The following is a 27,840-nucleotide window of genomic DNA, read 5'->3' as shown; positions in this document are numbered from 1 at the left end:
AGCATGAACTAATACAACACCCATCTAATGCTGTTAGATGAACAGGTTACCATTTATTTCTCCATTTTACTGTTGATGGAAATTTTGGTTGTTCCTGTTTTGAATATTAACGTGCTGCTGGGATGTCCAGGGACTTCTCTTGGGGCACAGAAGGACTCATTTCTTCTGGGTGCATATGGAGTAGAGTTGCTGAGCCAGATGCTGAGCAGTTATACAACTTTAGTGGAAATGGCCAAGCAATTTCAACAGTGGCTGAACTGACTCCTGTCTCCTCAGTGAGTGCTCCTTACCAACACTAGGTGTTGTCAGTCCTTTTAATTTTGGCTGTGCTGGTGGGTCTGCAGTGGTTTTAATTCAAATTCCCCTGATGACTAATAAGGTTGAGCATCTTTTTACACCCCTGCTGGCCATCTGGCCATCCTCTTTGTGAAGTGCCTGTTCCAGTCTTTCGCTTATTTTTGTACAGTGCATATGTCTTCTACTCTGTCAGCTGTCTTTCCATTCTTGTAATGGTTTTGATGAGAGGTTCTTTTTTTTTTTTGAGACAAGGTCTCACTTTGTCACCCAGGCTGGACTGCAATGGCATGATCATGGCTCACTGCAGACTCAACCTCCTGGGCTCAAGCAATCCTCCTACCTCAGCCTCCTAAGTAGCAGGGACTACAGGCACATGCATGATGCCCAACTCATTTTGTACTTTTTGTAGAGATGGGGTTTCGCCATGTTGCTCAGGCTGGTCTCAAACTCCTGAGCTCAAGTGATCTGCCTGCCTTGGTCTCCCAAAGTGCTGGGATTACAAGTGTGAACCATTGCACCCAGCCCATGAAGAGTTCTTAACGTCACACAATTTATCAATTTTTTTTCCTTTATAGGGTTTAGCACTTTTTGGGGGGGATGGGACAGGGTCTCACTCTGTTGCCTAGGCTGGAGTGCAGTGGTGCAATCATACATCACTGCAGCCTTGAACCCCTGGGCTCAAGTGATCCTCCCAGCTCAGCCTCCTGTGTAGCTGGGACTACAAGTGTTTGCCACCTTGTGTGGCTAATTTTATTTATTTATTTTGAGATGGAGTCTTGCTCTGTCACCCAGGCTGGAGTGCAGTGGCGTGATCTCGGCTCACTGCAAGCTCCGCCTCCTGGGTTCATGCCATTCTCCTGCCTCAGCCTACCGAGTAGCTGGGACTACAGGTGCCCACCACCATGCCCGGCAAATTTTTTTTTTGTTTTGTATTTTTAGTAGAGAGGGGTTTCAGTGTGTTAGCCAGGATGGTCTCGATCTCCTGACCTTGTGATCTGCCCGCCTCGGCCTCCCAAAGTGCTGGGATTACAGGCGTGAGCCACTGCACCTGGCCATGTCTGGCCAATTTTTAAAGTTTTGGTAGAGATGAAGTCTCACCATGCTGCTCAGGATGGTCTCAAACTCCTGGCCTCAAGTGATCCTCCCATCTCAGCCTTCCAAAGAGCTAGGATTACTGGCGTGAGCCACGGTGCCTGGACAGGTTTAGCACTTTGTGTGCTTACTTTTGAGAGAATTTTTGCCCTAAGATTAAATGCATGCTTCATTCTAAAAGTTTTGCCTGTTATTTGACAGTCTACAAAGAGGTTAGAAAGTTTCATTTCAATATTTTAAAGATGTTTTTCCACCCTCTTCTGGTTTCCATAGTTTCTGACGAGGTCATGAGTTTTGATTCTTTGTTCCCCTGCCTGAACAATTACAGTTCACTCTAGCCTCTCACTCCTGGTCAAGTGATCCTCCCACCTCAGCCTCCCAAGTAGCTAGGACTACAAGTGTGTGCCACCATGCCCAGCTAATTTTTAAACTTTTTGTACAGATGGGGGTCTCACTATGTTGCCCAGGACGGTCTCAAACTCCTGGCCTCAAGTGGCTCCCCCACCTTAGCCTCCAAAAGCACTGAGATTACAGGCCTAAGCCACCATGTCTGGCCTTGAAACTGTTTTGAGGCACATATCAATTTATCATTTCTTTCTTCTTATGAGTTAACCATTTTATCATTATGCAGTGTCTCTTTTTATCTCTGAGAAGGTTCTTTGTGTTGAAGTTTATTTTATTTGATGTTAACATAGCCACCTAGCCTTGCTAGGCTTACTGTTTGCATACCATATCTTTTCTAAAGCATCTCTCTTGAAATCTGTAGTCTTGTCTTTCTATCCTTTTTAATTGACGTGCTTAATGCATTTAAATCTAATATGATGATTAAGGCCTGGCACGGTGACTCATGTCCTTAATCCCAGCACTTTGGGAAGCCAAGGTTGGCAGATCACCTGGGTGTATCACCTGAGGTCAGAAGTTCAAGACCAGCCTGGGCAACATGGTGAAACCCTGTCTCTACTAAAAATATAAAAATTAGCTGAGCATGGTGGTGTGCGCCTGTAATCCCAGCTACTCAGGAGGCTGAGGTAGGAGAATCACTTGAACCTGGGAGGCAGAGGTTGCAGTGAGCCGAGATCACACCACTGCACTCTAGCCTGGGCGACAGAGTGAGATTCCATCTCAAAAAAAAAAAATCTAATATGATTAATTGGTGGAATTTAGGTCTATCATTTTACTATTTGTCCTATGTTCATTCCTTCTAAAATTTCCTCTTTTTCTGCTTTTTTGGGATTATTTGAAAACTTTTAGCATTCTATTTTATCTATTGGATTTTTATCTATACCTCTTTGTGTTGCTTTTCTAGTGGTTGCTTTAGGGATTATCATACACATTCTTAATTTATAATAGTCTTCTTTAATATTGTGCCACTTCATATAAAATGTAGAAAACTTCCAATATCATAGTTTCATTTTTTGCTACAGTTGAGTGTATTCCATCTACAGAGTCAAAATCTCACAGTTTGATGTTGTAATTTTTCATTTATACTGACATATATTTTAAAGTAAGAGGAAAATTGTTTTTTAAAATTTAATCTACTATTTACCATTTCTGATGCTTTTATTCTTTCCTGATGATCAAATTTCCATCTGGGATCATTTTCCTTCAGCCTGAAAAATTTCTTCAGCAATTCTTTTTTTTTCTTTTTTGGACACGGAGTATCGCTCTGTCGCCCAGGCTGGAGTGCAGTCGCACAATCTTGGCTCACTGCAAACTCCATCTTCTGGGTTCATGCCATTCTCCTGCCTCAGCCTCCCAAGTAGCTGGGACTACAGGCGCCTGCCACCACGCCCGGCTAATTTTTTGTATCTTTAGTAGAGACGGGGTTTCACTGTGTTAGCCAGGATGATCTTGATCTCCTGACCTCGTGATCCGCCTGCCTCGGCCTCCCAAAGTCCTGGGATTACAGGCATGAACCACCGTGCCCAGACAGCAATTCTTATAAAACAGGTCTGGTGGTGATGAATTATGTCAATTTTTTTATGCGAAAATGTGTTTATTTACCCTGTTTTTTTTTTTTTTTTTGAGACGGAGTCTTGCTCTGTTGCCCAGGCTGGAGTGCAGTGGTGTGACCTCAGCTCAGTGCAAGCTCCGCCTCCCGGGTTCACACCATTCTCCTGCCTCAGCCTCCCCAGTAGCTGGGACTACAGGCACCCACCACTACGCCTGGCTAATTTCTTTTTGTATTTTTAGTAGAGACGGGGTTTCACTGTGTTAGCCAGGATGGTCTCGATGTCCTGACTTCATGATCTGCCCACCTCGGCCTCCCAAAGTGCTGGGATTACAAGCGCAAGCCACTGCGCCCGGCCTATTTACCTTCATTCTTGAAAGATAGTTCGACAGTCTACAAATGGGTTAAAAAGTTTTACTTCAATACTTTAAAGATGTTCTTCCACTCTCTTCTGGTTTCCATAGTTTCGGATGAGAAGTCATCAGTTTTAATTTATTTGTTCCCCTGCCTGAAATTTTCTTTTTTTTCTCTTCTCCAGACAAAGTTTCACTCTGTTGCTCAAGCTGGAGCAGTTGCATGATCTTAGCTCACTGCAACCTCTGCCTTGGGTTCAAGTGATTCTCCTGCCTCTCAGTCTCCCAAGCAGCTGGGACTACAGGCGTGCACCACCACACTCGGCTAATTTTTGTATTTTTGTAGAGATGGGGTTTTGTCATGTTGGCCAGGCTGGTCTTGAACTCCTGGTCTCAAGTGATCGGCCCACCTTGGCCTCCCAAAATGCTAGGATTACAGGCACGAGTCCCTGCGCCTGGACTTGAAATGTGTTTTTGTACAGTTACTTTTAGGAATTTTGTTTTTAGATTTGCTTTCCAGCAACTTGACTATGATGTACCTACACATGGTTTTGTTTGAGTTTATCCCAGTTGGGGATAATGAAACTTCTTAAATATGTAAATTTGTCTCTTATTATAGAAATTCTAGGCAGTGTTTCTTCAAATACTTTTTCCTGCCTCATTTCTTCTCTCCTCTCTTTTTGTAATTTTGACTACACATGTTATAGGCTTTTTGATATTGTTTCACAGGTCCTGAGGTTCTTCTTGTTTTCCCCCCATCCTTTCTTTTTTAGATTGGATACATTCTATTGATTTATCTTCAAGTTAACTGAGTTAATCTCCACTCTTCTGTTAGACTCATTCAGTTAACTTTATATTTAATATATTCTAATTTGCAGTTCTAAAATTTCCATTTTAAAAATACAGTTTCTGCCAGGCATGGTGGCTCATGCCTGTAACCCCAGTACTTTGGGAGGCTGAGGCAGGAGGATTGCTTGAGGCCAGGTGTTCAAGACCAGCCCGGGCAACATGGAGAATCCTCCATGCTACAAAAAATACAAAAGAGTTAGCTGGGCATGCTGGCGGGAGACTGTAGTCCCAGTTACTAGGGAGGCTGAGGGGGGAGAATCACCGTAGCTGAGAGGTCAAGGCTGCAGTCAGCCATGATTGTGCCACCGCACTCCAGCCTGGGCAACAGAGTGAGACCCTGTCTCAAAAAAAAATGTTTCTAATTATCTGTTGCGATTTTAAAATCTTGTTAAAAGTGTATTTTTGGCTGGGTGCAGTAGCTCACACCTATAATCCCAGCACTTTGGGAGTCAGAGGTGGGTGGATCACTTGAGCCCAGGAGTTCGAGACCAGTCTGGGCAACATGGTGAAACCCTGCTGTCTGTACCAAAAAAAAAAAAAAAAAAAAAAATTAGCCAGGTGTGGTGGTGCACACCTGTAGTCCCAGCTACTTGGGAGGCTGAGGTGGGAGGATCTCGAGTCTGAGAGTCAAAATCTGCAGTGAGCTGAGACGGTCTCACTGTATTCCAGCCTGGGCAACAGAGTGAGACTGTCTCAAAAAAAGAAAAGTGTATCTTCCTTTACAGCAGCAATTACAATAGTTGCTTTAAAATCCTTGTTTGCGAATTCATCAATCTGAGTCCTATCGGGTCAATTTCCAGTAGGATGGAGAATGTATAACAATTTTTTTCTTTGTATATTCAGTAATTTTGAATTTTATCCTGAACATTGTGACAGTTTGGAGTAGAGCATTGATATGTGTGTGTGTGTGTGTGTGTGTGTGTGTGTGTGTGTGGTAGCAAACAATCGGCTTGATGGAACTGAGACTGCAAACCCAGTCCCTTGGACAGTGGCTCAAATCTCATTTCTGTTGTTTTATTCTAGGTCGAGTTGCTTGGAGTCTGTCCCATACATGTAGTTCAGTGCTCAACTAGAGATTTAGACAAAGAGTATCAACAGAATTTGGATCTGCAGCTCTCTCCTTTCTGCGATGCTCCCATACTTTCAAGAGGTTGTGGTTAGTTCAACTAGCAAAAAGTTTGCTAGTGGGTCACTAGGGGTGATGGTGAGTGGTGCCACTTCCATTTCCACCCCTTGATTTCTGGTCCTGTGCATCCTGGCTATGGGAGAAACAGTACCATATGTCGGATGCTGATTCAGAGCATGCATGGCCTTCTGGAGAACTCTGCCCCAGTCTTGCAAAGTATTCTCACCTAGTTGCCATTGTGACCGTGACTTCAAAAGGCCATTCCACCATTCAATCAATCCAGCTGCTTTGGGATGGTGGGGAATGTGGTACAAGCAGTGAATTCCACGAGCCTGAGTCCACTGCTGCCCTTCTTTAGCTGTAAAGTGAGTACCTTGGTAAGAGGCAATGCTGTATGGAATACCATGATGGTGGATAAGGCATTCTGTGAGTCCACGGATGGTAGTCTTGGTAGAAGCATTGAGTGCAGGATAGGCAAACCCATATCTGGAGTAAGTGTCTATACTGGTGAGGACAAACCACAGCCCTTTCCATGGTGGAAGAGTTTCAATATAATCAACCCGCCACCAAGTAGCTGGCTGATCACCCCACTTCTGGTACCAATGTACTGTATGATCAGCGTTCTCTAGAGGGACAGAATAGGATAGTTGTATATAGGAAGGGGAGTTTATTAAGGAGAACTGACTCACATCATCACAAGGTAAAGTTCCACAATATGCTGTCTGCAAGTTGAGGAGCAAGGAAGTCAGTAGTGGATCAGTCTGAGTCCCAAAACCTCAAAAGTAGGGAAGCCGACGGTGCAGCCTTCAGTCTGTGGGTGAAGGCCTGAGAGCCCCTGGCAAATCACAAAGGCCAAGAGTCCAAAAGCCAAAGAACGTGGAGTCTGATGTTTGAGGGCAGGAAGCATCTAGCACAGGAGAAAAATGGAGGCCAGAACTCAGCAAGTCTGCTCATTCCTCCTTCTTCTGCCTGCTTTATTCTAGCCATGCTGGCAGCTGATTAGATGGTGCTCACTCACATTGAGGGTGGGGCTGCCTCTCCCAGTCCACTGACTCAAATGTTAATCTTCTTTGGAAACATCCTCACAGACACACCCAGGATCAATATTTTCCATCCTTCAAGCCAATCAGGTTGACACTCAATATTAACCATCACACTTGTCTTCTAGCTTTTCTAGCCAGAAAAACCTATGGCTTTTTATTGGAGTTTTATTTGCCCTGCATGGCATGGCCTGTTACCTGACTTTAGTCTAGGAGCTGTGAAAACCCGGTACCGTTTTCCTCTTCCAAGTGTTGACACCTTCAGAATGTGCCTGCTGTGTTCACGCTCTGGTGACTTCAGGTAAGTGTTGTTTCCTATTTTGCCCAGAGTTTATAGTGCTGCCTTTGGAAGGGTTAGTTCAATAGGCGTTTACTCCACCATACCGGAAACAGAAGCCCAGCTTGTCCATTTCTGTAAATAAATAAATAAAAAAGCTTGGATTTAAATATTCATTTTGTGTACAATCTGTAGATCATTTTGGGAGAAATGACATTTTTACAATATTGAGCCTCTGACTCTTTTTTTTTAAATTTTTTTATTATACTTTAAGTACTAGGGTACATGTGCACAACGTGTAGGTTTGTTACATATGTATACATGTGCCATGTTGGTATGCTGTACCCATTAACTCGTCATTTACATTATGTATATCTCCTAATGCTATCCCTCCCCGCTCCCCCCACCCCACAACAGGCCCCAGTGTGTGATGTTCCCCTTCCTGTGTCCATGTGTTCTCATTGTTCAATTCCCACCTATGGGTGAGAACACGCGGTGTTTGGTTTTTGGTCCTTGTGATAGTTTGCTGAGAATGATGGTTTCCAGCTTCATCCACGTCCCTACAAAGGACATGAACTCATCATTTTTTATGGCTGCATAGTATTCCATGGTGTATATGTGCCACATTTTCTTAATCCAGTCTATCATTGATGGACATTTGGGTTGGTTCCAAGTTATTGTGACTAGTGCCGCAATAAACATAAGTGTGCATGTGTCTTTACAGCAGCATGATTTATAGTCCTTTGGGTATATACCCAGTAATGGGATGGCTGGGTCAAATGGTATTTCTAGTTCTAGATCCCTGAGGAATCGCCACACTGACTTCCACAATGGTTGAACTAGTTTACAGTCCCACCAACAGTGTAAAAGTGTTCCTATTTCTCCACATCCTCTCCAGCACCTGTTGCTCCCTGACTTTTTAAAGATCACCATTCTAACTGGTGTGAGATGGTATCTCATTGCGGTTTTGATTTGCCTTTCTCTGATGGCCAGTGATGATGAGCATTTTTTCATGTGTCTGTTGGCTGCATAAATGTCTTCTTTTGAGAAGTGTCTGTTCATATCCTTCGCCCACTTGTTGATGGGGTTGTTTTTTTCTTATAAATTTGTTTGAGTTCATTGTAGATTCTGGATATTAGCCCTTTGTCAGATGAGTAGATTGCAAAAATTTTCTCCCATCATTCTGTAGGTTGCCTGTTCACTCTGATGGTAGTTTCTTTTGCTGTGCAGAAGCTCTTTAGTTTAATTAGATCCCATTTGTCAATTTTGGCTTTTGTTGCCATTGCTTTTGGTGTTTTAGACATGAAGTCCTTGCCCATGCCTGTGTCCTGAATGGTATTGCCTAGGTTTTCTTCTAGGGTTTTTATGGTTTTAGGTCTAACGTTTAAGTCTTTAATCCATCTTGAATTAATTTTTGTACAAGGTGTAAGGAAGGGATCCAGTTTCAGCTTTCTACATATGGCTAGCCAGTTTTCCCAGCACCATTTGTTAAATAGGGAATCCTTTCCCTATTTCTTTTGTCATGTTTGTCAAAGATCAGATAGTTGTAGATGTGTGGTATTATTTCTGAGGGCTCTGTTGTGTTCCATTGGTCTATATCTCTGTTTTGGTACCAGTACTATGCTGTTTTGGTTACTGTAGCCTTGTAGTATAGTTTGAAGTCAGGTAGTGTGATGCCTCCAGCTTTGTTCTTTTGGCTTAGGATTGACTTGGCAATGCGGTATTGAGCCTCTGACTCGAACCCAGTGTATCCCTCTGTGTATTTTTTTTCCCCTAATTTCTCTCAATCATGGTTTACAATCTTCTGACTATAGGTCTTACATTTCTTTTTGTTAGTTTGATATTCAGGTATTTGGTTTTTGATGCTCTTGTAAAGGGTCTTACTTTAAAAGTTTCATTTTTTACACTCAAATTGACGCTTGATGGTCAGCATCTATTATCTTAGCTTTATATGTCCCATCCTAACTATGCTTACTGAGCAAACTTTACCAATGACAAACCTGTGGTTTGTTAAATCTTCCAAAGCACCTGCAATGGAACTAAAGGTTTTTAGGAAGGTGGTTTTTTTGTTTTTGTTTTTGGCAGGGGGGCAGTGTCTTCCTCTATCACCCAGGCTGGATTGCAATGGCACAATCTCAGCTCACTGCAACCTCTACCTCCTGGGCTCAGTAGCTGGAACTACTGGCACTTGCCATCATGCCCGGCTACAGTTTGTATTTTTGTAGAGATGGGCTTTTGCCACGTTGGCCAGGCTGGTCTTGAACCTCAGATGATCTGGCCACCTTGGCCTCCCAAAGTGCTGGGATTATAGGTGTGAGCCACTGCGCCCAGCCAGGAGGTGCTTGGGTTTTATAAACTGGGTATGTGAACAGAATATGGGGAAAGTTATTTTAGGAAGTAACCAAAGCAACAATAGCACTCCTAAGAAACTCCTGGGTGGACCTCGTGCTTAGAAAGTGGAGCCCAGTAGCGTTGCACCTTTCCAGGTTAGGGAGGAGTCTAGAGGCCACAGGCTTCTCTCACCGGAAAGGTCATTTCTTGCTTGCACCTTGGGAAGGAGGAAGCGTCCCAGGAAGGCTGACTTGTTGGAGTGCCATCAGGACAACGCCGTTTACTCCTGAGCTTTGAAATGCGCTGCTGTCTGAGTTAAGCTAGTAAAATCCATCCGCGATGGCTATGGTTAGCCATTTGTGGGAGTCAGCCAAGAGGCTGTTGTAAATGAGTCACTCAAGAGTTTGCAGACAGCCCCGCTTGGGAGATCTGGGTCAATTTCAGGGAGGAAGCAGGCCTGACTCTTGACTATAATTTAGTGAGCAGGCATCTAATCCGTGGCGCCTGGTGTGTGGATGCATGGGCTGGTCAACTGCGCAGTGCCAGCTCTGCCAGCTTTGGGGTCCAAGTCCAAGGTTTCTGCCCCTTCCAAGAATGAAACCTGGGCTGCTGACTTAACTTCAAGCTCCAGTCCCCCCTCATCTGTACAACAGGCTCCACCTGGCCCTTGATCACGTGTCAGGCCTGATTAATGCTAGTGCCTGGCCAAGCCCTGACCCTGGCGAGAGAGTCCTGGCCGAGCAGATCTGAGAATCCTCATTTTCTTGGGAAAGCAGGGCAGGGGTTGGAGGTGTCTTGGCCAGTGGACTTCTCTACTCCGGAACTCTCAAGTCACAGGCTACTGTCTCAGGCTCCAGCCTCCCCAGACTTGTGTCCCAGGGTGAAGGGGCCAGGCTAAGTGCCTCTTACCAAAGGTCTCCCTGTAAGTGAACAGTAAGTAGCCATCCCGTATACTAGCTTGAATAGTGTCCCCTCAAACCATATCCACCAGAACATGAGGATGTGACCTTATCTGGAAGCAGGGGCTTTGCAGACATAATTGGTAAAGGATCTCATGATGAAATCGTTTTGGATTTAGGGAGGTCTTGAATCCAATGACTGGTATCCTTATAAAAGGAGAGGACACAGACACACAGGGAGAAGGTCAGGAGAAGACAGAGACTGGAGTGATGTGACCACAAGCCCAGGAATGCTTGGAGCCACCGGAAGCTGGAGGAAGCAGGAAGGATCCTCCCCTAGAGCCTCTAGAGGGAGTGCAGCCCTGCCCACACCCTGGTTCTGGCTTCTACAGCTGTGAGAATCCACCTGTTGTTGAAGTTGCATACGTTTGTGATCATTCGTTAAGGCAGCCTTGAGAAACGCATCCCTCTGCATTTACAGAGCAATTAGGTGGCCACAAGTTTCTCCCTGGGATGTGGATTCATTTGTGACCAGAGACATCCCCCCTGAGTCTGCAAGACTGACGAACGCTGCCAGCGGGGCTGGTGGACACCCCAAAAACATTCAGCTGCTATCTAGCTGCACGCCTTTTTCTTTGCGGAGTGGGTGGGGGGAAGGGGTCTCATTCTGTCGCCCAGCCTGGAGCGCAGTGGCACAATCATAGCAGCACGATCACAGCTCACTTGTAGCCTTGAACTCCAGGGCCCAAGTGATCCTTCTGCTCCAATCTCCCAAATAGCTGAGACCACAGGTGCACAACACCACGCTTGGCTAATTAAAAAAACCTGTTTTTAGTAGAGACCGTGTCTTGCTTTGTTGCCCAGGCTGGTCTTGAACTCCTGGGCTCAGACCATCCTCCTGCCTCAGCCTCCTAAAACCCTGCAGTTATAGGCGTGAGCTGGCGCTGGCTTTTTTTTTAAAAAATTGTTTTATGATGAGGGCTGTCAGGCAGACAATAAAAGCACAGGTCACCTAACAAACACCACAGAACTTTCACACAGCCTGCAGCTTGGAAATCACTGATTCCCTTTATTCTTAGATTTGTTTTATTCTTAATGTGTCTTAAACTTAATTCAAAACTTGTTTTTATTATTTTTTATATTTAAGTGAGCGTGTCTGATGCTCTATTTTATTTAAAAATACAAGACCCTGCTTAGTAAACTTGGAAGGCCCACTGAGCTGCCAGCCGCCGAGGCCACCTCTTTGCCCACAGCCTGGCAGCAAACATTTTTCCGGGTTGAAACAGTGCTTATGATTAACATTTGTTACAATTCCCCCTTTTCTCTTTTTATGCTGGGTGAGATTTTTCTTTCAAACTACACAAGTCCTAACTGCTTGGGGCAACAACTAAAATCACAGAGATACTAAAATTTGGCGGGAGGCCCCCAGGGTGACTCCCCACCACATGAACATTAGGAGGGGAAGTCACGTGCTGTCCTCACCCGCCTCCCCTCCCCCCCCCCCCGGAAGGCAGTGCTCCTGCAAACCCCAGACATAGAAGAGCTGCCTGGCTGTCTGCGGCTCCCACTTTCCCCAGGGCCTTCTGGTGCCCAACACCCTCCTTGCAAGGGAAGCTGGAATAGGTGGGCACAGACCCTTAACTTCTCGCAGTTCCTGCAGCTGCCAGGCTGGACGGTTCCCCAGAAGATCCTGCGAACACGTTGGAATGAAAGACTCCTGGCGGGGCCTTGGAGAAGAGGAGTCACCACTGTGCGTAGATGGCAGGAGACTCATTACAGATCTCAGTGGAGTAGCAGCGGACTTGAAGAGTGGAGGCCTGAGCGTGGGAACCTTCAGTTACCCCAGCCTTTGGGACCCTGGGGGCCTTGGAACCTGGTCTGTTTCCTGCGAGTCCTGCGTTCTGCTTCTGCCCCGACTCCAATCTGAGGGGTCTGTGGGTATGGGCTGTGCAGTGAGCCTGGTGCGCCCCACCTTGCAAGTTGTGCGTGGGGCCAGTTAGCCTGCCTGTGCTTTGACCTGCTTTAAAAATGTTCTAATTAGTTGTCAACACTCAAAAATTAAAAATCCCGAGATTTAATCATCACTTTATATTTCTGTTCTTTCTGGAAAACTCAGACTGTCCCCCTACTGAGCTCAAGGTGCTCCGTAGGTGTACCCACAGGGGCCCTCCCCGCCATACTCAGCTTGCTTCATTCATTTCCTTTCCTGCCTTCTGGGAGCCAAAGTTCAGGTACAAAACTCCAGCTGTACGTTTGCAGTGATTTCCCCCAAACACTGTTCCCCTATAGGGGAGGCACCTCTCCTAGGCTCCGTCCTCAATGCTCATTGGCTGCTGCTGCTGTCGAGAAACAAGCCTGGGGTGAAGTCCCGTATTCCAGTTATCAGTAAGTCCATTCCTTTGCAAGGCTACAGTTCGAACAGGCACAAGGGTCCAGTTCGGGTCTGCTTTCGAGACTAGCAGTCTCCTTTGTTAAAGCAATTAAAAAAATCATTTTCTTTGTCAGCAACGTCATTCATCGTCCCGAGGTCTCTGCTTATTGCGGCGCTGTCTTCAGCTGCGAAGACTGACCCTGTGGCCTCTTGGCCCCAGTGAGGTCCGAGGCAAGGAAGCGTCTCTCTGAAACCTATTCTGGGCTCTTAGGAAGAAATGAGAGAAAGGAAAACCACTAGAAATGTCCAATAACACCATCTTTTGGTTGGAAAATAAAACACGCAGAAAGAGGGGACTGGAACTTTTACTGAAGTATTTCTAGAGAGAAGGTGCTTGGGAACACTTTAGGTAACTTACTCCCCTCCCCCAGCAGAAGGTAAAAAAAGCTACTTCCAGACGTGCCGGCTTCAGGCTCGGGAACTTCGTTTGGCGCCTGGCAAGCACCGTGCTCTTACCTACGGGCTTATACGACACTCCTGTCTCCAAGGCAGCTGGGTGCGGGGACAGTCAGCCCGGGGCGGCTGGGTTTATTGATTAAAAATGGAGGGAAGGGCCAGGGGTGGTCACGATTGGAGGGCGAGAAGAGCCGTGCGCGCAGGACCCCTCCCCACCGCCCGGGACCGGCTGAGCCAGAGGCGGACCCAGCTTCCCCGCGGCGGCTTGGAGGGGCCGGGCGCCGGTCCCCGTCCCCAGGGCGCGCTGCGACAGTCCCCTCCCCGTTCCCGCCCGCCTCCCAGGCCCATCCACTCCAGGGCCTGCGCGCCGCCCGGCGGCGCCCCGGCATCCCCGCGCGCTGTTCCCCGGGCCTCGGACGGGCCCTGCGCCGCCGCTGCCACCGCGCACGGCGCCCGCCCGGCGCTCCCGTCAGCGCCGCCGCAGCCATTTTGGAGCGAGCCGAGACAAAGAGCGAGGCCCCGTCGCCGCCCCGCGCCCGCCTCGGCCCGGCCCAGCGCACCGTTCCCGCATCCCGCGCCCCGCCCGGCGGCCCCCTCCCCGTCCGCCACCGCCCCGGCGCCCGCGCCCCTGAGCTCCAGCCCCCGCGCTTCCCGCCGCTGCTGCCGCACCCCGGCCGACCGCCCGCGCCCCGGCCTCTAGCGCTCGCAGCCATTGGCCGCGCCTTTTAAGCGCGCGCCGCAGCCAATCGCCGGGCGCCCGCGGTCTCCGCGCCTGCGCAGGGCCGCCACCCCCGCTCCCCCGCCCCCCGGCCGCGCGCCCCCGCCCCCCGCCGGCCGCGCGCCGCCCCCCGCCCGCCCAGCGCCCGCCCCAGTCGGAACCTCCTCCTCGCCCAGGCGCGCTCGGCCCGAGCGGCGGCGGCGGCGGCGGCCGAGGAAAAAAGATGGCGGCGGGCTCGGATCTGCTGGACGAGGTCTTCTTCAACAGCGAGGTGGACGAGAAAGTGGTGAGCGACCTGGTGGGCTCGCTGGAGTCGCAGCTGGCGGCCAGCGCGGCCCACCACCACCACCTCGCGCCGCGCACGCCCGAGGTGCGGGCCGCGGCCGCCGGCGCGCTCGGGAACCATGTTGTGAGCGGCAGCCCGGCCGGAGCCGCGGGCGCAGGGCCGGCCGCCCCCGCCGAGGGCGCGCCCGGAGCGGCGCCGGAGCCGCCCCCCGCAGGTAGAGCGCGGCCGGGGGGCGGGGGGCCGCAGCGCCCGGGCCCCCCCTCACCGCGCCGCCCCCTTGTCCCCGCAGGGCCCGCGCCGCCCGCCGCGAAGCTGAGGCCGCCGCCCGAGGGCAGCGCGGGGTCCTGCGCCCCGGTGCCCGCCGCCGCCGCCGTCGCCGCGGGGCCCGAGCCCGCCCCCGCCGGCCCCGCCAAGCCCGCCGGCCCCGCCGCGCTGGCCGCCCGCGCCGGCCCCGGCCCCGGGCCCGGCCCCGGCCCCGGCCCCGGCCCTGGCCCTGGCAAGCCCGCCGGCCCCGGCGCCGCGCAAACTTTGAATGGGAGCGCCGCGCTGCTGAACTCGCACCACGCCGCCGCACCTGCTGTCAGCCTGGTCAACAACGGGCCCGCCGCGCTGCTGCCGCTGCCCAAGCCCGCCGCCCCCGGCACTGTCATCCAGACGCCCCCCTTCGTGGGCGCCGCCGCGCCCCCCGCGCCCGCCGCGCCCTCGCCCCCCGCCGCCCCCGCGCCCGCCGCCCCCGCCGCCGCCCCGCCCCCGCCACCCCCCGCGCCCGCCACTCTGGCCCGGCCGCCCGGCCACCCCGCCGGACCCCCGACCGCCGCGCCCGCCGTGCCGCCCCCCGCCGCCGCCCAGAACGGGGGCAGCGCCGGGGCAGCCCCCGCCCCCGCCCCGGCCGCCGGGGGCCCCGCGGGGGTCAGCGGCCAACCCGGGCCCGGCGCGGCGGCTGCGGCGCCGGCGCCGGGGGTCAAGGCCGAGTCGCCCAAGAGGGTGGTGCAGGCGGCGCCCCCGGCGGCGCAGACCCTGGCGGCCAGCGGCCCGGCCAGCACGGCGGCCAGCATGGTCATCGGGCCAACTATGCAAGGGGCGCTGCCCAGCCCGGCCGCCGTCCCGCCGCCCGCCCCCGGGACCCCCACCGGGCTGCCCAAAGGCGCGGCCGGCGCAGTGACCCAGAGCCTGTCCCGGACGCCCACGGCCACCACCAGCGGGATTCGGGCCACCCTGACGCCCACCGTGCTGGCCCCCCGCTTGCCGCAGCCGCCTCAGAACCCGACCAACATCCAGAACTTCCAGCTGCCCCCAGGTGAGTGGCCGCACGGGGCGGGAGGGAAGGGCGGCTCCCAGCAGCGCCAGCTGCCAGTTCCAGGAAGTTCTCCGCTGGTGGAATGCTAAGGTCATCTGTCCCGTAGGCCCGTGGCTGGAGCAGGCCGAGGGGCAGTCTCTACCCAGGTGCGGGGCCAGCCCGGGTGGCTGTCTGCGAGTGAGCCAGAGGGAGTCGGCATAGCCTGCGTCCCTGTCGCTGTCCCTGACGTCCGCGCTGGCTGCCTGTGCCTGGGGCTGGTCTGTTTCGGAGTGGCTCAGCCAGGACTCTTAGTGGAGTGGTCCTTACCTGCTCCCGCCCTATGCGTCCCTGCCCGGGTTGGTAGGCTCAGCGCAGGGGCTCCCTGGGCCAGGCGATGGGGTCTGCAGAGCTGAGGGCAGTACCTGGGGCTGTGAGTGGCAGCAGCTGTCCCCTGCTCAGTTCTGCAGTTAGGCGTGTGGCCTGTGTCCCCACTTAGCCTTTCTGCCCCTTGGTGACCCTGGGCTCGAGCCTCTTCAGTCTCCAGGCGAGGACGGGGGCGCGACGCCCCCTCCTTGAGGCTCGGGAACTCTGGATGGAAGGCTTGGGCTCCTCTGCTGCCACCAGGCAGGGAGAGATGTCAGGCGCATCCTGCGAGAGTCCTCCCGGCGCGCAGCCTTGCTGAGAGCCACGCTGTGGAGTAGGGTTTCAGCACCGTGTGTGTCACTGTCTCTTCCAGAGCTGCGTTGGTGCCTAAAGGAAGGAGCGCCTAGCTACTCTGGTTGCTGCCCCCTCGGGAGGGCAGTGGGAGGGCGGTGGCAGCAGATGTTCTCGCTCCGTGCAGGGGTCTCGGGGCGATACTGGCTATGCTGCGGATGCCTGGGGCTCCGACGCCACTTCCGCCTGGCAGTTCTCACGCTCCTGTCTAGTCTGCTGTCTCTGCGACTCCTCAGGGCCCCTCAAGTTTGACAGGAAAGATTGCCTGGCCAGCATTGCTGCTTTTGTCTGGGGCTCCCCGTCCCTCCCCAGCCGCCGTGGTGGGTGCTGGGCAGGGGAGCTCCTCCCCGGCCTGTGGTGACGCGTGCCGTGCAGTTGTAGCAGCGCGGTGGCAGCAGTAGTAGGAACTGCAAGGAGAGCGTGGGTCCCTCCTGCGTCCCCTCTCTGAATGGAGCTATTGGTCACTTTGACAGGGTTGCAGAATCTTCAGAAGTGAAAGGATTTCTTGTCCAAGTATGTGAGGTTCGGGGCTGGTGGTCAGACTCTGGACAGGGCAGGGGTGGGGAAAGCCTGTCTGGGCGGCTGCTAGGCTGCAGTGCTCCAGGGAGGAAGAGAGCTGTGAAGCTACTTCCCGGGGTTGCTGAGACGCCCTTTACGACAAGCTTTTGGGGTACTGAAGCGTTTGTAGGGGTGTTTTGCCAGAGGCTTGGTTTTGCTGTTATGTGTATGTTGACCTTTTAGTAGGAAACGTGGCTGATCTTTAGTAACGTTGTAAAAAGATGTTTGATGGCTGTGATCTATTATGTAAACTGTCACAATGCTTTATTTATAAAAATGTTTTTCCAGAGGTCCCACGTGTCTCAGCGCAGGCCAGGTGCCTGTTGCACCCCTTTGGGTAGGTATTGGACTCTGTCTTGTGGGGCTGGCCAGGTCCTCTTGCTCTGAGCCACTGCAGAGGTAAAGCCTCATCTGTCTCTTTCTTCTGGGAGGAGGTGAAGGAATACGTGGTTGGAAGAGGGCATCTCTGCTGTGTTTATCATGAGTGATCCTGGGACTCACTTCCATCTTCTGTTTTAAGATCAGTTTTAGGGTCGGGTGTGTTTGATGAAGAGACAACTTGAAAAACAACTGTAGGAGTGTTGACTGTGCGTGATTCCTGTGTGTGAGGACAGAGGAACAGCTCACACAGACGTTTGGGTGGCAGTGCTGAGAGCGGTGCTTTCAAGGAGCCGAATGCTACTATCTAAAAAAGTGAGAGATTTACCCCATCTCTTCATGGCCTCCTGCAGTTGATCTACTGATGAGGAATTTTGATTATGTTATTTGTTTCAATAATAACCAAAGCAAAAAAAAAAAGTATCAATAAAACTACCAGTATCCCAAACCAGAGTACCTTCTTTTGAACAGTACAACTTAATTCTGTAAATCAGAATGGCAAATTGCAAATACTCTGGTTACTTCCTGTAATCGATTGATCAGAGAATATTAAATTGTTCTAGTTGGTTCCGTTTTCATTGAAATATTTCGTAATAAAAATGTTTAGAACAAAGATGGAAGTAACTTATAAAAATAACTCTTGCTTGGTTAATAACTCATTCTCATTACAACTCAGTCTTGCAAACTGAGGAGGAGCCGGGAGTATTAGGGGTGGGCAGGGTTCTCAAAGCTGCATGTGGGTGTCAAGTGGAGTAGCAGACGGGTGGCAATTGGATGGGGTGTGAAAGGGCCTGCCCTTCCCAGCCTTCCCTCCGTGGAGGTCTTGGGTGGGAGAAGGGAGGGGACAGAGGTTTCACCCTGAAGTCTTTAAGGCTAAGCCTTAGGCCCGAGTGTTTCAGCCCCATAGTGCACACCGGGTATGTTGAATTTGGTTTAGGTAGCTGTCATGATATTCTTTGTCAGGACAGTGTTGTAAAGACAGTTATGTTAATGTAATTGTAATTTGCTGGTTTGAGGTGCCAGAGTTTAGATTTTATTCACTGAGGAAAAATGAGAAAACTCAGTCTTTAGTGAGATTGTTGCAGATGACACAGTTGTCCCAAGATCACGGAAAAGCACTAGTTATGTACAGCTTAGGATAGTCATAACGTCATAGTCAGGTTGTGATTACAGCTGAAAGAAGAAAAAGGTGATTTGACACCCACATTAGCATGTTGGTAAATTGTTGAGAGATCTTTTCAGATCGGTGTAAGGTAAAGAAGCTCATTTCTAAAGGTTATCTTTTGGCCTGGCAAATTCACATTTTCTTCAGTGTATCTTGGTCTATTGTGCTTTCATGCAGAATTTACTCTCCTTTTGCTCTAAGATTTGGCCCAAGTGTAGATTCCCATTCCAGGACAGAAAAGCACTTTCTCACCATGGGCCTTGATCCCTTGGCCTAGGGGGCGTGTGCTTGCTGCATGTTTTAGGATGAGTACTCCCAGGTGAATGTGTGTCTGTGGGTGCTGTCTGGAGCATTGGTTCCCATCTGTGGGGAAAGGGGGAAAATGTCCACTAGCCCTTAATCGCGCTGTTGGGACGGGTTGGATTTGGCGAGTCCAGGCCCATGCTGGGTGGCGGCATGCAGACGGCCACCCCTGAGGTTGCAGGAGCTGTGAGTTCTGGTGGCCAGTGGTGGCAGCCAGTGCTCTGGCACAAGGGACATTCCTAAAAGTTTAGATTTTGTGACTTGAGGGCCCTGTTGCCGTTTGACCTGGGAGGAATATGTTGTTCCTCGGAGCCTTGGCTTACCCAGCTGTAAAGTGGGGTTGCCCTTTTGGTGAAGAATGTGAATTCTGTCAGGTTGGGCCAGATAACATAGCTGTCAGGTGGCGCTCACTATTCCAAACTCTCCCAGTTCCCCTCATTTTTCACTGATTTTCACACATTAATCCAGACTGGATGTTTTCTCAGTGACTGAGGTGTTTGGTGTGGCAGCTGACTGGTTCTGTCAATGGGGAAGTTACCGAGGTCTGAGGTGGGTCACCCTGGGGCGGTGGTTGCCAACATAGGGGAGGGTTGCAGTGGCCTTTGGAGGCCTGGACCTGGGTGGAGGGCTCACTTTAGGCTAGAGGCCTTAATCTGGTGTTTCTTTTGACATACTCAGGTAGGAGTGACATTTGAAAAGAACAAAGAAAAAGAACTTTTGGGGAGCTGTGTAAAGACAGCCCTGGACAGCTCTGCCTAGCATAGGGCAAGGGCGCCGCTCTGGGTCTTCCCTTCCTCCCTGCCCCCTGCCCCGCGGCTGGGGTCGTCACCATCGCCTTCGGGATGAACAGAGTCATCTTGGTGACAGGTTGGGATGGACCTCACCTGCCTTTGGTGTCTCAGAGCTGGTGACCCTCATGGCTTAGTGGCAGCCAGGAGTCGGGGTCCTGTGACGCTCTTAGGAGCCTCTCTCCTCACTGCTTACTGTGCCCGAGCACTGCATTCACAGCAGAGGTCTATGAGTTTGAACAGAGGATGACGTTTGAAGTTCGTTACGGTTGCCCTGGTTCTTAGGGCCTGTGAGAAGCTTTGTAGGAGAGGGTGTCCCGCTTGCTTCTGTGGCAAATGGACCTGAGGCAGGCCCCGGGCGCCTGGGAAGTTGGCCTTCTCCCAGGGCAGAGAGCAGAGCCACCCTGGCTTCCAGGACTGCCCCCGGGCTCCCCGGTGTGCTGTGGAAGTTGCCCCTTAGACATCAGCACAGGGAGGCCGGGAGGCGGCGTCTGGTCAGAGCAGCACAGACCGGGCTCAGCAGAACAGACTGGTGGGCGTGTCCGCATCCCGAAATCAGAGTGGAATGGAGACAGTTCCTGTTCTACCTCCAAAGCCTTTTCTACTGTATAATGTGAGTTTTCTTCCACTTAAGGGATAAATTTGAAGAAAGCTTTTATAAATTGTTGGTTGTAAGTGAGTTGATCAAAGCATAATTAGCAGCTGTGTTTGAGGATCTTGAAGCAGAGGTGTAACAGGGCTCTGGAGAAGCTTGCCTGAGATTTGGGGTAATTTGCAGGGTTCCCGAAGTGCTTTGCTTTTCTTCTTCATGGTGCTCAGTAGGAACCTCCAAGCCCTCGATCATCCAGGAAACAGTTGCTGTTTAGGGTGTTCACCTGTGGTGCCCGGCTCAGGCAGCGTGATGGGGGCGTTTACTTAATCAGGCCTTTGATAGCAATAAAGCAGTTAAATAAAGGGGGCTTTTGGCTGCAGGCCCTTCTGTGCCGAGTGCTGTGCACCTGGGCTTCCTGGACGCTTCTGCTTCCAGGTGGGCCTGCGGTTGCTATGGCATTGTGGTGTCAGCTGCAAACACGTACACAGCTGTTCTTTCCAATTCTTGCGTGGAATAATGAAGTAGAATAAGTGCTGTCAAGTTATGTTCGAAAATGGGGTGCTTAATATTTCCATGGTTGGACCATGAAAGTTTTGAGTGAAAACTTTTGATTTTTACATATCTCAAATGAACATTTGCACCAAAGATGTACAGCTTTCGAAAAACAAAGAGATACATGTTGTCCACCATGAGGCCCCTCTCCCATTTGAGAAAGTACCTGGTGTCCGCTGTTGGTCAGTCCGCGGTGGTCCCAGGCTCTTCTCCAGGCCTGCCTTCTGCCTGGAGCAGGCCATGCTGCAGTGTGCAGGATGATGTAGTGAAGTGCCCCCAGCTTCTCCCACCGTGGGTGTCATGTTGTGGAGCAGAAGTTGTCGTTGGGAACCGCGTGTGAGGGCAGGAGAAATTGTTTGTTGGGAGCCGCATGTGGGGACAGGAGAAGTTGTCTGTTGGGGACTGTGTTTGGGGACTGGAGAGGTTGGCCCCCCGAGCCCCATTGTCTGTGGCCTGGTGTGTAGACCTGTGTCCGTCCTTCCTGAGGTCTTGCTGAGGTTGGCCCCCGAGCCCCATTGTCTGTGGCCTGGTGTGTAGACCTGTGTCCGTCCTTCCTGAGGTCTTGCTGAGGTTGGCCCCCGAGCCCCATTGTCTGTGGCCTGGTGTGTAGACCTGTGTCCGTCCTTCCTGAGGTCTTGCTGAGGTTGGCCCCCGAGCCCCATTGTCTGTGGCCTGGTGTGTAGGCCTGTGTCCGTCCTTCCTGAGGTCTTGCTGAGGTTGGCCCCCCGAGCCCCATTGTCTGTGGCCTGGTGTGTAGGCCTGTGTCCGTCCTTCCTGAGGTCTTGCTGAGGTTGGCCCCCCGAGCCCCATTGTCTGTGGCCTGGTGTGTAGACCTGTGTCCGTCCTTCCTGAGGTCTTGCTGAGGTTGGCCCCCGAGCCCCATTGTCTGTGGCCTGGTGTGTAGACCTGTGTCCGTCCTTCCTGAGGTCTTGCTGAGGTTGGCCCCCGAGCCCCATTGTCTGTGGCCTGGTGTGTAGACCTGTGTCCGTCCTTCCTGAGGTCTTGCTGAGGTTGGCCCCCCGAGCCCCATTGTCTGTGGCCTGGTGTGTAGACCTGTGTCCGTCCTTCCTGAGGTCTTGCTGAGGTTGGCCCCCCGAGCCCCATTGTCTGTGGCCTGGTGTGTAGACCTGTGTCCGTCCTTCCTGAGGTCTTGCTGAGGTTGGCCCCCGAGCCCCATTGTCTGTGGCCTGGTGTGTAGGCCTGTGTCCGTCCTTCCTGAGGTCTTGCTGAGGTTGGCCCCCCGAGCCCCATTGTCTGTGGCCTGGTGTGTAGACCTGTGTCCGTCCTTCCTGAGGTCTTGCTGAGGTTGGCCCCCGAGCCCCATTGTCTGTGGCCTGGTGTGTAGACCTGTGTCCGTCCTTCCTGAGGTCTTGCTGAGGTTGGCCCCCGAGCCCCATTGTCTGTGGCCTGGTGTGTAGGCCTGTGTCCGTCCTTCCTGAGGTCTTGCTGAGGTTGGCCCCCCGAGCCCCATTGTCTGTGGCCTGGTGTGTAGACCTGTGTCCGTCCTTCCTGAGGTCTTGCTGAGGTTGGCCCCCGAGCCCCATTGTCTGTGGCCTGGTGTGTAGACCTGTGTCCGTCCTTCCTGAGGTCTTGCTGAGGTTGGCCCCCCGAGCCCCATTGTCTGTGGCCTGGTGTGTAGGCCTGTGTCCGTCCTTCCTGAGGTCTTGCTGAGGTTGGCCCCCCGAGCCCCATTGTCTGTGGCCTGGTGTGTAGGCCTGTGTCCGTCCTTCCTGAGGTCTTGCTGAGGTTGGCCCCCCGAGCCCCATTGTCTGTGGCCTGGTGTGTAGGCCTGTGTCCGTCCTTCCTGAGGTCTTGCTGGGCCCTTTGTGTCCCCCACTGGGCATCACTGGAAAGCGCCGATGTGAGGAAGGCACACGTGGCATCTTGATCTCAAAGTTGTGAGAGGAGCGTAGCCAGGTAGGGTGGTGTTGGGGTACATGGATCTTGGAGGGACCATTTCCGAATAGTCAGGAAACCCCAGAAACAGTTTTTTCTGTCTATCAAATTTGACATTAGGTTTTAGAATGAGGGCCCTGCAGTAAGAAGGTCTGTGGCTCCCAAGGGAATTGTTTCGGGGTTGGGGTCAGAGGTCTGAGTGGACAGTGCGTGGACAAGGCAGGACACTAGGAGCCAGGGAGCTGAACCCTTCTCTGGGCGCTGGGTGTGGCCCAAGCACACCTGGGGCAGAGGCTTTGTGGGTCAGCTGGTCCACTGGGGGCTGCAGACACTGTGGGCAGAGGTGCTGCCGGTGGCAAGGTGGGCACCTTGTTCCATGGGGTCGGGGGACACAGCCTTTCATTTTCTGACTTTGCAGTAAAGTGTGTGGGACAATGACCTGTGAAAGTTTTTAAAGGAAGTTCTGTGTCTTCTGCGGAGGAGCGTGGTCTCCGTGGTGTTCATAGGAGCCACGCACGGTGCTCAGAGCATGCCCAGAACGCACAGGCCTGCCTTGCTTTGGAGCTTTGCAGAAGGTTACGAATGTCAGTGTCAGAAGCATCATGACAGGAACAAGGGTGACACGGGAAGCAGGCTCGATTGGCTTTTTTATGTAACTGTAAGTGTAAAAAATTATTAGTTACTTCAACATGATTTTTTTGATGATAAAATTAGTTTTTTTTTCATTATAGGAAGTTTGGGAAGTAAACTGTAAAGAAGAAAATACAGTCACTTGTAACGTCACCTGGCCCAGACTGCTAAAATTTCGGGGTGTCTCACTTCAGCCTGTGTCTGCTGCATATCTGCTTCTGTGTTTTTCTGTAATTACAGTTCTCCTGTGACCCAAGTCTGTGCTTTGCCTTGTCCTGTGTCTGGTGCACTTTCCCTTGGCCCTCGGTGGTCTCAGGCTCCAGCATTTGGTAACGGCCCCTGTGCCAGGGTGCTGTGCTGATGGCGACAAGTGGCCCCCTGTAGGTGAATGCCTTCATGTCTAACTGTGTGTGTGTCTGGTGGGTTGAGCATTTTCAAGGCTTTGATACATATCACCTTCCACCAGATTACACTTTTAAAACCATTGCCAGAATACGACTTTTGGGAATGGATACCATTCTAAAGGAAGAAAATCGTGTCTAGTTTTAAGTTGCATTTCTTTGAGTGAAATTAGACCTCGTTCATGTGGATGTTGGCTATTTATTCTCGCCAACTGTGCCTATTTGTATAAGCGCGTTCTTGTTTTTTTCTTTTTTTTCGAGACAGAGTCTCACTCCATCACCCAGGCTGGAGTGCAGTGGCGCAATCTCAGCTTACTGCAACCTCCGCCTCCCGGGATCAGGTGATTCTCATGCCTCAGCCTCCCGAGCAGCTGGGAATACAGGCATGTACCACCACACCCAGCTAATTGTTGTATTTTTAGTAGTGACGGGGTTTCACCTTGTTGGCCAGGTTGGTCTCGAACTCCTGACCTCAAGTGCTCCGCCTGCCTCTGCCTCCCAGAGTGCTGGGATTACAGGTGTGAGCCACTGCGCCTGGCCTGCATGAGCACATTCCGAGGGTGTGTACTGGGCCACGGGGGAAGGCTGATGAGGGTACCAGGGTTCAGCTGTGGGGGGTCCCAGGCTGACAGCCCCTGCTTTCATGGTGTGTCCGTTGTGGGGGCCAGGCAGTTAACAGGCAAACAGATCAGCAGGAATGTCTGATTGTGATTAGCACCCTTGGGTGAGAGGGGACTGCTGGGCAGGGTAGTCAGGGAAGGCTTTCCCAGGAGGCTGAGGGATGAGAAAGGGGTCAGCCACATGCAGCTGGGACCTGTATCCAGGCCAAGGAAAGAGTAGATGCAGGGGTCCCCCGTGTAGATTGTAGGGCTGCCCTCTGATAGTGTGAATTGATATTGTAGGGCTGCCTGTACACAGTGTGAATTGATTGTATCACAGGGCTGCCCCCAAGTAGTGTGAATTGGTTATATTGCAGGGCTGCCTCCAGGCAGTGTGAATTGATTTTATTGCAGGGCTGCCCCCAGGCAGTGTGAGTTGATTGTATTGCAGGGCTGCCTGCACACAGTGTGAATTGATTATATCACAGGACTGCACAGTGTGAATTGATTGTCTTGCAGGACTGCCCGCAGGCAGTGTGAATCGATCGTATTGCAGGACTGCCCGCAGGCAGCATGAATCGATCGTCTTGCAGGACCGCCCGCAGGCAGCGTGAATCGATCGTCTTGCAGGACTGCCCGCAGGCAGCGTGAATCTATTGTCTTGCAGGACTGCCCGCAGGCAGCGTGAGTCTATTGTCTTGCAGGACTGCCCGCAGGCAGCGTGAATCGATTGTATTGCAGGACTGCCCGCAGGCAGTGTGAATTGATTCCAAGTGCCTCAGTGGCTGGAAGCCATTGAGGGTTTGAAGCTGGATAGGGCATAATTTAAAGTTGTATGTTGAGGTCACTTTTGCGTCTGAGCTGTGGAATGTGGGGGTGGTTGTGGCAGGGGCCTGGGGCAGATGGTGGGGCTTAGGGAGGTGTGGATGGGCTGGAGGGAGGGGTGAAGACAAAGGCTCTTGTGGAATGAGATTGAGGTGGGCAGGCGGGGTGAGAGGGAATGTCGGTGGCTGGTGGGAGGCAGGAGCTCAGGGGAGCAGCTGGCACAGGCCAGGGTCTGGGAGTCGTGGTGTTGCTGGCTCTGATGGCCATGACGGTGTTATGAGCCTGTAGAGTAGACTAGAAGAGCCGTAGGAGGCTGCCCTGCAGGTGCCGGCACCTCCAAGGCTGGGCCAGCTTGGGAGCCAGAGAGGAGTGCCGGGAGAGGCCAGCATTCATAGGGTGCATCTGGCCAGCAGTGCTGGGAGTGGGGTGGTGAGGGTGGACACCTGGGTGCAGGAGCCTGGTGGAGGAGGTTGCAGGAAGGGTGGCCCAGAGCAAAGAGCTGTCAGCTCTTGGGGTGGAAGGACATGGCGTGGCCGTTGCTGAGAGCCTTATGTGGTGGAGTAGCATTTGTTGCAAGGTTGGCGTCTCTCCTGGCCTCCAGCGCAGCGATGGCAGAGGTAGCATGGCTGTGATGGAGGCCGCTTTGCTCTTGTGTGTGCAGTCCTCGCCTTCCTGCCGCATGTTGGCGTGCACAAATTCACAGATCTGTAGATCTCTAGAGCCAGAAAGTCCTGGAAGAGAGTCCCCTTCCACAGAGACGCTGAGGCTCACAGAGGTGACCAGCTTCTCCAAAACCCCGTGGCCCCTTAATGGAGGCTGCATGCCACAGGGCACCTGTCACTCCTTCAGGCCGCCTCCTTCATGCTTGTGCTGCTGAGAGAGACTGGAAATGGTTCAGCTTGGAGCAAACTTACAACTTAAAACCACTAAAGCACAGGGGCTTTCAAAGAGAAAATCCACAGAAGGGAATATCCTGAGTGCATGGTGAGGGGCTGTTGCACTGGGGTGGGTCTGTGTGGCGCGTGGCCTCACCCGACGATCCTACTGGGTCCTGTGGGCCCTCCAGTGCTTGGGCTCCCCCCAGCTGGTGGCTGTCTGCTAGGTCTGGGCCACCTCATCTGCCTGGGGAGGCTCATCTCCGTCAGTCCCTGCAGTCCTGCGGCTGCAAGGGCTTCAAGTGGCCAAGAGGCACTCCTGGTCTTAAGGCCCTTGCTCAGAAGTGATGCAGGCCTCTCCCTAGTTTCAGCCGAGAAGACTTGGTCATTGTCTGTGTCTGTCTGCACAGAGTGCTGGGTGGTTCGGCTTGTGCCTGGGGGCAGGGTGGGATACGGGTGGACAGCCAGCAGGCCTCAGACCGTGCTTGGCCTTGGTGGGCCAGGGGGATGAGTTTGGTTGGTTGGTCAACAAACGTTCACTCGGCAGTAGCTCAGGTGAGACCTTGTGGATCTGGCAGCTTGCTGGCGGAGTTGCTTGGGGAGTGCTGCAGGTCGGCGTGGACGGGCGGAGGTGAGGTGCACGGATGCCGCTTCTCAGCATAAACGTCGCTCGTGGCTCCCTTCTCCAGAGTACCTTCTCAAGGTGGGCATCTTCTCTGTTCAGATGTGGGTGCCCCAGTGTTTCCCTGCCGCTCCTGCCTGACCGGGCACTTAATGGAGCTGCTTAGTGACGGATCCAGAGCGGCAGAGAGCTGGGCCGGGAGCTCGTCACAGGGCAGTGCGAGGGCGGTCCTGGTCCTCCGGCTCCCGCGGCCTCATGGGCTCCTGGTTTCAGGATGGTGCTTGCACTCAGGGCCGCCGTGGCTCTCCCTTCGCCCCACCATCGATTAGACGCAGAGCTCTGAGAGTTGGGAAAGCACGGACTGGGCGTCTTGGAGGCTGTGATTCTGGACAGGTGATAGGGCCACCCTCTTCCACTTTCGGGTGCTCTGTGGGCCAGACGCAGCTCTGCCTGGGCCCGAAGGCTGGGCTTGGGGATGGCATCTCCTCAGTGCCTTGGAGGTTGTGGGCGTGCCACCAGAGTTCCTGTGTGGGAAGGGCTGCCACCTGCCTTGGGTCACATGGTTCCAGCCCTGGAGACCTGGTGTTGTGGGGGGTGGCGGAAGGGACCTGATGTCATGGGGTATGGTGTGAAGGAAATGGCGTTTTGTGGGGTGGTGTGAGGGACCTGATGGTACGAGTGGCAGCGTGAGGGACCTGGGGTGTGGGGGATGGCCTGAGGGACCTGGGATATGGGGGATGGCGCGAGGGATCTGGTACTGTGGGGGTGGGGTGGTGTGAGGGACCTGGTGTTGTGGGGGTGGCTTGAGGGACCCGGGGTGTGGGGTGTGGGGGGCGGTGTGAGGGACCTGGGGTGTGGGGGGTGGCGCGAGGCACCTGGAGCGTGAGCCTGCAGTTCACATAGGGGTGCAATGTGGGGACGGTGGTGTTCAAGCCATGGGACACTTGCCCATCTGTTGTGGGGGAGGTGACAAGATCCCAGCCCAGACACCTGGGCGGGGACATTCTAGTGATGCAGGGGAGGCAGTGACCCACAGGGCACACACGGGCTGGGGCTGGGGTGTGGAGCTGGTGCGGGGCAGGGCACCCTGGGGTTTGTCGATCTCAGCTGACTGGAGGCGGCTGGTTCCAGATGGCAGTGCTGGGGGTCAGGTTCAGGAGGAGATGGAGAAGTAGGTCACTGACTGTGGTGAGGGGGTCAAAGGACAGTTTCTTTGTTTTTTCCTGTTTGTATTTTAAGGAGAGATCTTGGAGCCATGCTCAATAGCGGAAACAAAGTGCGCCCCATTTGGATTCGTGCTTCGGGTCGGTGGGAGTTAGGCTGGATGAGGATGGGTGGGGCGGGAGGGGGAGGTTGAGCCTTTGACATGCTTCATGTCAGCCACTTCATCCAGGCCACTGTCATTTAGCCTGCACCCCGCTACTGCACCCCACTTGGAGCTGGTTGGCCTGGGCACGTCTGCGGTGCTCGGTGGCCATGCTGTGCTGCGGGGATGCAGGGAGTCCACGGTGCAGGACGCAGAAGGGGAAGGTGGCCTTCCTGTCATCTCTCTTCCTTGTGGTTGTGGAGGTGACATGGCCCTGCAGGGGTTTGGTCGTGTGTCTGCAGGCCCTAGAGCCT

The 27,840-nt window shown here is 52.9% G+C and overlaps 1 protein-coding gene, 1 long non-coding RNA gene and 1 other non-coding gene across 4 annotated transcripts in view, besides 11 other annotated features; 1 reads left to right on the top strand and 2 right to left on the bottom strand.

Moving 5' to 3' along the window:
- Nucleotides 1–11,258: 11,258 nt before the first annotated feature.
- LOC105372705 (uncharacterized) lies at nucleotides 11,259–13,340 on the bottom strand. The gene is made up of 2 exons (XR_936960.3): nucleotides 13,103–13,340; nucleotides 11,259–12,852 (listed from the first exon to the last, which is right to left on the bottom strand). It is a non-coding gene; the product is annotated as an uncharacterized LOC105372705 (long non-coding RNA).
- Nucleotides 12,624–13,137: an enhancer, noted in NCBI's record as "H3K27ac hESC enhancer chr20:60641713-60642226 (GRCh37/hg19 assembly coordinates)". NCBI's record gives its function as "activates a minimal SCP1, AML or CMV promoter by ChIP-STARR-seq in naive H9 embryonic stem cells {active_cell/tissue: H9 hESC(naive)}" and the evidence as "EXISTENCE:reporter gene assay evidence [ECO:0000049][PMID:30033119]".
- Nucleotides 13,133–13,512: a silencer, noted in NCBI's record as "silent region_13095". NCBI's record gives its function as "represses an Ori minimal core promoter by ATAC-STARR-seq in GM12878 lymphoblastoid cells {active_cell/tissue: GM12878}" and the evidence as "EXISTENCE:reporter gene assay evidence [ECO:0000049][PMID:35858748]".
- Nucleotides 13,773–13,882: a silencer, noted in NCBI's record as "silent region_13094". NCBI's record gives its function as "represses an Ori minimal core promoter by ATAC-STARR-seq in GM12878 lymphoblastoid cells {active_cell/tissue: GM12878}" and the evidence as "EXISTENCE:reporter gene assay evidence [ECO:0000049][PMID:35858748]".
- The window catches only part of TAF4 (TATA-box binding protein associated factor 4), a 91,084-nt gene continuing 77,156 nt past the window's right edge, over nucleotides 13,913–27,840 (top strand). Inside the window, exons 1-2 of one of the 2 annotated variants that reach the window (XM_047440429.1) lie at nucleotides 13,931–14,046; nucleotides 14,336–15,343. In XM_047440429.1, the coding sequence (XP_047296385.1) occupies nucleotides 15,100–15,343 (244 nt within the window). In that variant the 5' untranslated portion in view covers nucleotides 13,931–14,046; nucleotides 14,336–15,099. Of the gene's footprint in view, nucleotides 15,344–27,840 lie in introns of both variants that reach the window. The other variant, NM_003185.4, reaches the window with a different exon arrangement.
- Nucleotides 14,143–14,232: a silencer, noted in NCBI's record as "silent region_13093". NCBI's record gives its function as "represses an Ori minimal core promoter by ATAC-STARR-seq in GM12878 lymphoblastoid cells {active_cell/tissue: GM12878}" and the evidence as "EXISTENCE:reporter gene assay evidence [ECO:0000049][PMID:35858748]".
- Nucleotides 14,143–14,680: a biological region, named in NCBI's record as "H3K27ac hESC enhancer GRCh37_chr20:60640170-60640684".
- Nucleotides 14,166–14,680: an enhancer, noted in NCBI's record as "H3K27ac hESC enhancer chr20:60640170-60640684 (GRCh37/hg19 assembly coordinates)". NCBI's record gives its function as "activates a minimal SCP1, AML or CMV promoter by ChIP-STARR-seq in naive H9 embryonic stem cells {active_cell/tissue: H9 hESC(naive)}" and the evidence as "EXISTENCE:reporter gene assay evidence [ECO:0000049][PMID:30033119]".
- Nucleotides 14,681–15,194: an enhancer, noted in NCBI's record as "H3K27ac-H3K4me1 hESC enhancer chr20:60639656-60640169 (GRCh37/hg19 assembly coordinates)". NCBI's record gives its function as "activates a minimal SCP1, AML or CMV promoter by ChIP-STARR-seq in naive H9 embryonic stem cells {active_cell/tissue: H9 hESC(naive)}" and the evidence as "EXISTENCE:reporter gene assay evidence [ECO:0000049][PMID:30033119]".
- Nucleotides 14,909–14,992, bottom strand: MIR3195 (microRNA 3195). The gene has a single exon (NR_130463.1). It is a non-coding gene; the product is annotated as a microRNA 3195 (primary transcript).
- Nucleotides 15,195–15,709: an enhancer, noted in NCBI's record as "H3K27ac-H3K4me1 hESC enhancer chr20:60639141-60639655 (GRCh37/hg19 assembly coordinates)". NCBI's record gives its function as "activates a minimal SCP1, AML or CMV promoter by ChIP-STARR-seq in primed H9 embryonic stem cells {active_cell/tissue: H9 hESC(primed)}" and the evidence as "EXISTENCE:reporter gene assay evidence [ECO:0000049][PMID:30033119]".
- Nucleotides 15,710–16,223: an enhancer, noted in NCBI's record as "H3K27ac-H3K4me1 hESC enhancer chr20:60638627-60639140 (GRCh37/hg19 assembly coordinates)". NCBI's record gives its function as "activates a minimal SCP1, AML or CMV promoter by ChIP-STARR-seq in primed H9 embryonic stem cells {active_cell/tissue: H9 hESC(primed)}" and the evidence as "EXISTENCE:reporter gene assay evidence [ECO:0000049][PMID:30033119]".
- Nucleotides 24,661–25,161: an enhancer, noted in NCBI's record as "H3K4me1 hESC enhancer chr20:60629689-60630189 (GRCh37/hg19 assembly coordinates)". NCBI's record gives its function as "activates a minimal SCP1, AML or CMV promoter by ChIP-STARR-seq in primed H9 embryonic stem cells {active_cell/tissue: H9 hESC(primed)}" and the evidence as "EXISTENCE:reporter gene assay evidence [ECO:0000049][PMID:30033119]".
- Nucleotides 25,162–25,662: an enhancer, noted in NCBI's record as "H3K4me1 hESC enhancer chr20:60629188-60629688 (GRCh37/hg19 assembly coordinates)". NCBI's record gives its function as "activates a minimal SCP1, AML or CMV promoter by ChIP-STARR-seq in primed H9 embryonic stem cells {active_cell/tissue: H9 hESC(primed)}" and the evidence as "EXISTENCE:reporter gene assay evidence [ECO:0000049][PMID:30033119]".

The sequence above is a fragment of the Homo sapiens genome, chromosome 20 (assembly GCF_000001405.40).
Source record: "Homo sapiens chromosome 20, GRCh38.p14 Primary Assembly".
In the NCBI taxonomy this organism is placed as follows: domain Eukaryota; kingdom Metazoa; phylum Chordata; class Mammalia; order Primates; family Hominidae; genus Homo; species Homo sapiens.
The sequence above is the reverse complement of the archived record's forward strand: the minus strand, read 5'-3'. Positions and strand labels throughout refer to the sequence as shown.